We start from the raw sequence: 9,317 nt of genomic DNA, 5'->3' as shown, positions 1-9,317 counted from the left end.
AGGGAAGAACATCCCCAGCAGAGAAAAATCCTATGCGAATTCATTTAGATCACAGAGAAATAGGTTGAACCTACTAGTTCCAGTGGGTCTCAAGCTTTTTTAACAAACAACTCTTAATACAAGATAAATGGGGAATGGGGATGCCTGTTCTGAAACATCCAGTGCAAGCATAAAATGTCTTAGACTGGCCAGGTGTGTTGGCTCATGATTATAATCCCAGCACTTTGGGAGCCCAAGGCAAGAGGATTGCTTGAGGCCACGAGTTTGCAGCTGCAGTGAGCTATGGATTCCACCACTGCACTTCAGCCTGGGTGATGGAACAAGAACCTGTATCTAAAAGTAAAAATAAAAATAATTGATTTTCATTTTTAATTATGCAAGTTATGCATCATGGTTTACAATATTCTCATGTATTATGATATTAAAATAAGGTTGTGCATTTCTAGTCAGTAAGTTTACTTGACTTTCCAAATGTACATTGTCAAATAAAATTGATACTCCACGGAAGAAGCAGCTCCATGTTGACCCCTTGGCTTCACATTTGCCTGACTCATCCCTGGGGTCAGAGAAAGTCAGTTTACACTGCAGCCTGAGAACTAAAAAGCCTCTAAAAGGGGTTGGAGAGCCAGGCTCAGTGACTCACGCCTGTAGTTCCAGTGACTCAGAAGGCTGAGGTAGGAGGATTGCTTGAGCCCAGGAGGTCGAGGCTGCAGTGAGCAGTATCTTGCCACTGCACTCCAGCCTGGGTGTCAGAGCAAGACTCTGGCTCAAAAAAAAAGAGGGGTGGTGACCAGAGACCAGAGCTTTGTCTCTGAATGTTCAAGTGACTTTTCACACTCATATTTAGGACTGTTGACCAGGTGTGACCACAGTCCCAGTATTTCCACTCCTCTGGAGGTTGAAAGTTTTTCCCCATTCCTGTTAGCCCTCTCTGACTACCACGCTGGTTGACTTGAGGAAGATGCCACCTGTGGGGTCAGGGAAGCCAATCAGGCAATGAAAGAGTGGGCAAGGGGAATCTCTCCCACAAAACCAGCATCCAGGGGCCTTCCAAGCTAAGTGTGCAACTGATAGCCAATCAGATGTAGGGCACCACTGGAGGTTTTAAAAAACCACCTCAAATGAGAGGTCATTGATTCTCCAATCCCAATGCTAGGTTACACCCCAGACCAATTAAGTCAAAACTCAGGGAGTGGCATCCAGGCTTAGAATGTATTAAACCTCCCTGGTGATTCCAATGTGCCAACAAATTTGTGAGTCAGTGAGCGAGGTCACTGTGGTTCTCAACCTGGCTGCACGGGAGAGTCACCTGAGGAGGTTTTTATACCTATGGTGGGGGAGCCACGCCCCAGCCCCATAGATCAGAATCTTCCGGGTTTGCGGCTGGGCAGCAGAATGGCCCTTAGACCCGGGAAGGGAGCCAGCCTATCCTGGCCTGTGCCCTGGGGCACCTTCCTTGAAATTTTCCAGGTTGCACATCCGTGCCTACACCTGCAGGAACTGTCAGAATCGTCCCCGGGGGCACCCTGAGCAAGGATCAGGATGCAGGTACCCACAGAGCTTGGTGACTCGTGCCTTTGCAATCGTCACGACTAGGAGGGTGGCCTGGGCCACTCCCACTGCCCAGAGCAATGTTTCTTGCATGAGAGGTGAGGCCACCAGTGGTGCTGATTTGGGGCAATTCACTCACATGGCGTATAGGGCATGTTCAGGGCCCTGGCTACAGACCATCCACCGCAGACCCCACTTGAGTCACATGTGTGGGTTGTGCATGGCTCTCGCCCTCCATGCTGGGATCCTCCTAAGGTCCTCCACACTGAGCAGTAGGGGCTGCGACATTAGCTGTGCACGCCTGATTGCGGCCACCCAGGCCAGCCACCCACACCTGCTGCAGGCTCCACAGTCTTCCCAGGGTGGCTGTCCAGTCCATTGCTCCTAAAGGCAAACAGACCCTGCGGGTCATTGTCCTCTCATCTCCCACAGATGCAGTGATGTCCCGCAGTCGCTGTCGGTCTCAGGCCGTGCCTGATGAGGGTAGACAGTTGCAGGAAGAGGCCTGCTCTTCTCACTCTTTCCACAAGCCACTACCCTACAGGCTGGTGGCACTGCCTGGCAGGCAGGAATGCAGTCCCTATGGAAATATACCACATTTCAGGAAGGTAGTAATTACTGCCTGGTGGATTCAGAACATGGTTGGAAGGTATCTGTATTAGTCTGTTCTCATGCTGCTAATAAAGACATACCCGAGACTGGGTAGTTTATAAAGGAAAGAGATTTAATGGACTTGCAGTTCCACGTGGTTGGAGAGGCCTCACAATCATGGTGGAAGGCAAGGAGGAGCAAGTCAAGTCTTATATGGATGGCGGCAGGCAAAGAGAGCTTGTGCAGGAAAACTCCCCTTTATAAAACCATCAGATCTCATGAAACTTATTCACTATCATGAGAATAGCATGGGAAAGACCCGCCCCCATGATTCAATTATCTCCCACAGGGTCCCTCCCACAACACATGGGAATTACGGGAGCTACAATTCAAGATGAGATTTGGGTGGGGACACAGCCAAACCATAACAGTATCCTACGTTTGTGCTAGAAAACTTTAAAGAGTAAGTTTCACATCACCAAAAAAGAATTATCCTTCACACTTTCTTGCATACTGGGAAAGACTTGCATTTTCTGTTCACCAAGGGGAAAGCACCTTTAACAGACCATTGAGAGCTGATAATCACATCGAACACACCAGATGAGACAGTTGACCCTTAACAATGAAACAACCCTCAAATTAACAGTATTGAGGCAAAGCAGAAACAAAATCTATTCTTTCAATACAAACTGTTCTGAAGAGCCCTGGCATTGTAATAACAGTGTTGCTATCTTTCTCTTACAGTAGGAGATATGAAATTAATCAGGAATGGTACATTTGATGATAAAGAACAGGAAGAGATTCTGTCTAAACCCCGCGAAGAATCTCTATGTGCACTAACTGGACAATACATAAATCATAAGTAACTCTCTTCTACCCATTCTAATTTTTCTTCAATGCATCACTGTACCTCATATGGGCCCATAAATTTTGTCATGCATTTTCTAGTCAGCTTATTTTTATAGATAAGTGCCCCAGCAAACAATGTGTACCGAGGACCCTGCACATGCTAGGGAAAATCCCACTGGGCATCTTGGGTATTTCTTTCAAAATCTTCCAGGTGATTTCCATTTTGTACCCAGGGTTGTGAGTCCCTATGCCAGAAGCGAGAAGGTGGATGTCCACATGTCAACCAGCTGGTTTCAGCCAGCGACAGAGAAGGGCTACAGGGAGTGTTACAGGTGGGACTGTATCCCCCTAACATTCATATGTTGAAGTCCTAACCCCCAGTAGCTCAGACGGTGACCTTATTTGGAAATAGGGTCATTGCAGATGTACAGATGCTCCTCAACTTACAATGAGGTTATGACCTGATAATCCCATCATAGGTTGAAAATGCTGTTAAGTCAAAAATGCATTTAATATACCTAATCTACTGGATGCCATAGTTTAGTCTACCTTAAACATTCTCAGAACACTTACATTAGTCTACACTGGAGCAAAATCACCTAACACAAAACCTATTTTATAATAATGTGTTGAATATCTCACGTGATTTATTGAATACTGAACCGAATGCATGTCACTTCCATACAATCATAAAGCAGAAATATTGTAAGTGGAACCGTCATTAGGTGGGGGACTGTCTGTAATTCGTTTCAAGATGGGATCATACTGGAGTAGGGTGGCTTCTAATCCAATACGAATGGTGGTGTTCTTATAAAAAGGAAGAAATATGCACATGCAGACATGCACACAGGGAGAATGCCAGGTGAACATGAAGGCAGAGATCAGGGTGATGTGTCTACAAGCCAAGGACTGCCAAAGATGGCAGCAAATCATCGGAAGCTAGGAAAAAGGCCCCGAACAGGTCCTTCCTTCACCACTCTCAGAAGGAACCAACCCCTCTGCTACCTTGGTCTCTGACCTCCTGGCCTCCAGAATGGAGACAGTACATTTCTGTTGTTAAGTCACCCAGTTTGCTGTACTTCGTTTCATCAGCGCTAGCAAACTAATGCAGTGAGGCCCCTCAAAGGCGCCCAATGGAAGTTCAATACACAAAGATTAAAAATGAGTTTTAAAAATAAATGAACAGAAAGTTTCCAGGTGGCAAAAGAATTGGAAAGCATTGGAAATTATTTTCTTGAGTTGCTCTTTTTTAATGCACTTAACACTGCTGCAGGAAGCATCATCCGTCTCCCCAGTGAACATCCTCAATCTGCTGATTGCTAGTGAGAAAATAACTGGTTCGATTTATGTTAAGTTCCTTGAATCCTTTCACTCCTTTGCTCATTTCAACCTGTCAGGCCAAGGAGAGATAATTGCATTAAATCACCTGGCAATTTAAATGTTCCTCTTTGTAGTGTCAAAGGAGTCTTTCTCTTTAATCAATGAAAAACCTGAGGTCTCCCTGGCGAATAGTAAAGCCTTACAATTAAGAGCCCACAGGGAGCTGGATTGAACAGGAGAGATTCTGGGTGCAAAGAGAAGCTTCTCATGGATCCTAATCAGGCTCCCTGCTGGAGGAACCCAGAGATGCCCCATGGGTACCGGACAACAGTGGCCTGTGTGTCTCCCACTGGACACTAAGTCCCTTGAGGGGGAGGACTCTGCCCCTCCCATCTTACCACAGGGCCCTGTTTTCATGATTGTTTAACTGAATCCTCCTCCCTAACCCCCTCTTGGACCCAGAGATTGTGCTTCCTTGCCTGATTACTGTATAAGAGGCGGAAACAAACATCTTAATCAGACATTCATGGCACACAAGCCAGTTAAAAAGGGTCACACAAACCAGTTAAAAAGATGACAAATAGAAATTTAGTTAAGGTCGGTAAAAGGAAATGGGGTTTGAACCTAGAAATAAATTTTTCTTTTTTCTTTCTTTCTCTTTTATTTTCATTTTTATATTTTTGAGATGGGGTATTGCTGTCGCCGAGGCTGGAGTGCAGTAGTGTGATCATAGCTCACTGTAACTTTGACCACTCGGGCTCAAGTGTTCCTCCTGCCTCAGCCTCCCAAATAGCTGGGACCACAGGACACACCACCAAAACTGCCTAATTTTTTTATTTTTATTTTTTGTGGAGACAGGTCTCACTATGTTGTCCAGGCAGGTCTTGAATTCCTGGCCTCAAGTGACACTCCCACCTCGGCCTCCCAAACTGCTGAGATTACAAACATGAGCCACCATGCTCAGACTAAATTTTTCTTTTTGAGAATGTAAATAGAGTTGAGAAATTCTTTGGCTCTTTTGACCTATGGAAATAATTTTCTGATTGAAGAGCCTGAGACTCACCCATCTTCTTGTGTAATACTTTAGTGGATCTAGAGAGCTTTAGGTAAGTCCCTTTTAAAATAAATGCCAAAAAAAAAAAATTAGTATTTTCCATCCTGGCAGTTCTTTTCAAGTCCGCTCCTACTCCAAGGACTTTTCAGTGGATGGATTTGGAGGGGAAAAAACATACTGCAACCTGAAATTGATTGATCGGTCCCAGGCCAGTTGCATTTTCTAGCTGTCTGGCGGGCTTCCTGCCAAATCAACCGCTTGTCCACTAGTTCCCTAAAAATGCCTTTGTTCAAAAAGTTGCAAACACCTAGTGCCATTTTAAGGTGAGCCCTAGCTCCCCTACTGGCTGCATGAATCTCTGCTGTTGAGAGGAAATTTGACATCATTCTTCCATTCTGAAGTCCCGGATTTGAATCCCAGCTTCTTCCGTTATGCAGGTTATTTGGCTAAGACTTGGTTTCCTCATCTCTAAATGGGGATAATAGAAGCGATGTCGGTGTTTTCACAACCTCTTGCGAGGATTAAATGGGAGAGTGAATGCAAATATCCTGATCTATATAGCAGGTGCTCAATAAAAGAGCATCCACCCCAATTGTCTGACCTGCAGCTCAGCTGAGGCTATGAACCTCTTCCCTCGTCCATATGAAAAGTCCAGACGGGGATAGAATCTGTGTCTTCAATTCCCTCTGCCCTGACCCCTTTGTAGTCGCTCTGAGCTTAGGCTCCTGTGCTATAATTTCTGATCGGGGCGCCAGTGCTGACAGTGGATTAAAAGGTCAGAAGACTGGCCCTTTTCATCTCAAGGAATCAAATAAATGAGAATCCGCATGCTGGATTTTAATTCTAACCAGTAAACATCTGTTGATCAAAGACCCATGTCAGTCCTATGCTGGAGACCGAGAATAATGAAATGAGTAAGATTTGGCCCCTTCCTCCCAGCCTGTCTACATCTGGATGTGCAGTCATTCTACTGAAGATAGTTCTAGATACAAGAACTAACTCAGCAATTTCCCGGTACTAATTTAACTGAAATTCACAAGTGTTGTTCAAATACAAGTTTGGGACTTTGAGGGGATGTATTTATTGGCTCCAAAGAAAGCCCATGGTAAATATCTTTCCACACATCCATTTTCCAAGGAAATCATAATGATTCTGTGTCCGGAATTGGTGGGTTCTTGGTCTCACTAACTTCAAGAATGAAGCCGTGGACCCTCGCGGTGAGTGTTAACAGTTCTTAAAGGTGGTGCGTCTGGAGTTTGTTCCTTCTGATGTTCGAACGTGTTCAGAGTTTCTTCCTTCTGGTGGATTCATGGTCTCGCTGGCTTCAGGAGTGAAGCTGCAGACCTTCCCCGTGAGTGTTACAGCTCTTAAGGCGGCCTGGAGTTGTTCGTTCCTCCTGGTGGGTTCGTGGTTTCACAGGCCTCAGGAGTGAAGCTGCCAACTTTCGCAGTGAGTGCTACATCTCATAAAAGCAGTGGAGACCCAAGAGTGAGCAGCAGCAAGATTTATGAAAAGACTGAAAAAACAAACCTCCCACACTGCTGAAGTGGACCCCAACGCGTTGCTGCTGCGCCCAGGGCGCCTGCTTTTATTCCCTTATCTGGCCCCACCCACATCCTGCTGATTGGTCCATTTTACAGAGAGCCGATTGGTCTGTTTTACAGAGAGCTGACTGGTCCGTTTTGACAGGGTGCTGCTGGGTGCGTTTACAATCCCTGAGCTAGACACAAAAGTTCTCCAAGTCCCCACTAGATTAGCTAGACACAGAGCACTGACTGGTGCATTTACAAACCTTGAGCTAGACACAGAGTGCTGACTGGTGTATTTACAATCCTTTAGCTAGACATAAAGGTCCTCCAAGTCCCCACTATACTCAGGAGCCCAGCTGGCTTCACCTAGTGCATCCCGAACCAGGCGGCAGGTGGAGCTGCCCGCCAGTCCCGCAGCGCCAGCCTGCACTCCTCAGCCCTTGGGAGGTCGATGGGATCGAGCGCCGCAGAGCAGGGGGCGGAGCTCATTGGGGAGGCTCAGGCCGCGCAGGACCCCACGGCGGGGGATGGGGGGAGGCTCAGGCATGGCGGGCTGCAGGTCCCCGAGCCCTGCCCCACGGAAAGGCAGCTGAGGCCCAGCGAGAATTCGAGCACCAGCACGGGCTGGTCTGCACTGCTGGGGGACCCGGCGCACCCTCCACAGCTGCTGGCCCTGGTGCTAAGCCCCTCACTGCCCGGGACGGGCTGCTGAGTGCGGGGCCCTCCGAGCCCATGCCCACCGGGAACTCATGCTGGCCCGTGAACACGGCGTGCAGCCCTGGTTCCCGCCCGCGCCTCTCCCTCCACACCTCCCCACAAGCAGAGGGAGCCGGCTCTGGCCTGTGCCGGCCCAGAGAGGGGCTCCCACAGTGTAGCAGCGGGCTGAAGGGCTCAACGGCGGCCAGAGTGGGCACCAAGGCCGAGGAGGTGCTTAGAGCGAGCAAGGGCTGCCAGCATGTTGTCACCTCTCAATTCTATATGTTATTATATTATTTTGGGTCATTTTAATTTTAATAAAAATATTTACGTATGAAGGAAAAACACATTATTGTTTCTTGACTTTTCTTTTTTCTTTTTCTTTTTTTTTTTTTTTTTTTGAGACAGAGTCTTGCTCTGTCACCCAGGCTGGAATACAGTGGCGCAATCTCAGCTCACTGTAAGCTCCGTCTCCTGGGTTCAAGCCATTCTCCTGCCTCAGCCTCCTGAGTAGCTGGGATTACAAGCGTGTGCCACCATGCCTGGCTAATTTTTTTGCATTTTAGTAGAGACGGAGTTTCACCATGTTGGTCAGGCTGGTTTTGAATTCCTGACTTGATGATCCGCCCACCTCGGCCTCCCAAAGTGCGGGGATTACAGGCGTGAGCGACTGCACCCGGCCTGTTTCTTGCCTCTTAATCCATAAACTTCATTGACCTTAATTTGTAACAATATAAACTAGAAGTGACTTTTTTTAGTTACTAAATAAAGCCAACTATATTTTCATTGAAATAATTTGACAAAATCGTTTTTAAGTCCTGGAGAAGAAACTGTTCTCTAATTGACTAATTAAAACCCACTTAAACTAATAAAGTAGATCCTCTATGGACCTTCTGTACTAGAGAAAACTTTATTAGTCCGAGTTGAGCTACAGGATAAACTTAGAGGTAATAAACTGCATTGGGGGAAAGAAATCAAACATGCTATAAGTGGGAACTTCCACTTATCTACGCTGATCCCTCAACTGATGCCAGGAACTGTATTCACGAAGAAGACTCTAAACTTTTGAACTGTAGCTATCTTCTCCAGTTGAGAAAACCAGATTTCCTCCCTGGATGGCTAGTGATGTTTTTCACTGGGGAAGATAGCATTTGCCTTCTGCTCCTTCTTGCAGCCAAGGTCAAACTGATCTTGTCTGATGCATCCTCTCTTGTCCAACTGCATCCCATTGAAAACTGAGACCATTTTGGCCAGCTAGCTTTTCCTAGGCCAGCAAAGGGAGCTCAGTGCAGAACAGAGAATGACACTGTCAGACCATCCTCCCAAATGAGCTCTCCCTGGGGAATCCCGGAAGTGCAGTGGACACAAGAATGGACCATAATCTTGGTCCTAGTGCCCACAAGTAAGAACATGCTACTTAGAGAGTCACATATATGAGCTATGTGTGTATGGATCTGCAAAGGTGCAGCCATGAATATCTCCCTATATTTTCAAGAAAGAAGCCTCAATTGAGGCCAAAAAAGATTTTCTTAGACCCTAGAGGTCTCTATGGAACATTGCTTTAATTAGATTGGAATGGTTTGTACTTAAGCTGTCAAATGGATAGATGATAGGCCAATGATAAATTGATTGATTGATTTAGAAGTCAGACAGATCTAAGTTTATACCAATTCCTGGCTGAAGGAGAGCTGCTAAGGTACTAAGTTTCCTTAAATCTTAGTTTGTCT

At 46.4% G+C, this 9,317-nt stretch overlaps 2 annotated features.

The window, feature by feature from the left end:
• Positions 548–717: an enhancer, noted in NCBI's record as "experimental_79567 CRE fragment used in MPRA reporter constructs". NCBI's record gives its function as "activates a minimal promoter by MPRAs in K562 erythroleukemia cells, with activity observed for both the introgressed and non-introgressed 4:38191263 variant alleles {active_cell/tissue: K562}" and the evidence as "EXISTENCE:reporter gene assay evidence [ECO:0000049][PMID:34662402]".
• Positions 2,890–3,059: an enhancer, noted in NCBI's record as "experimental_79551 CRE fragment used in MPRA reporter constructs". NCBI's record gives its function as "activates a minimal promoter by MPRAs in K562 erythroleukemia cells, with activity observed for both the introgressed and non-introgressed 4:38188921 variant alleles {active_cell/tissue: K562}" and the evidence as "EXISTENCE:reporter gene assay evidence [ECO:0000049][PMID:34662402]".

This window comes from Homo sapiens, chromosome 4 (genome assembly GCF_000001405.40).
Source record: "Homo sapiens chromosome 4, GRCh38.p14 Primary Assembly".
Taxonomy (NCBI): domain Eukaryota; kingdom Metazoa; phylum Chordata; class Mammalia; order Primates; family Hominidae; genus Homo; species Homo sapiens.
This window is presented reverse-complemented; position numbering and strand designations above follow the sequence as displayed.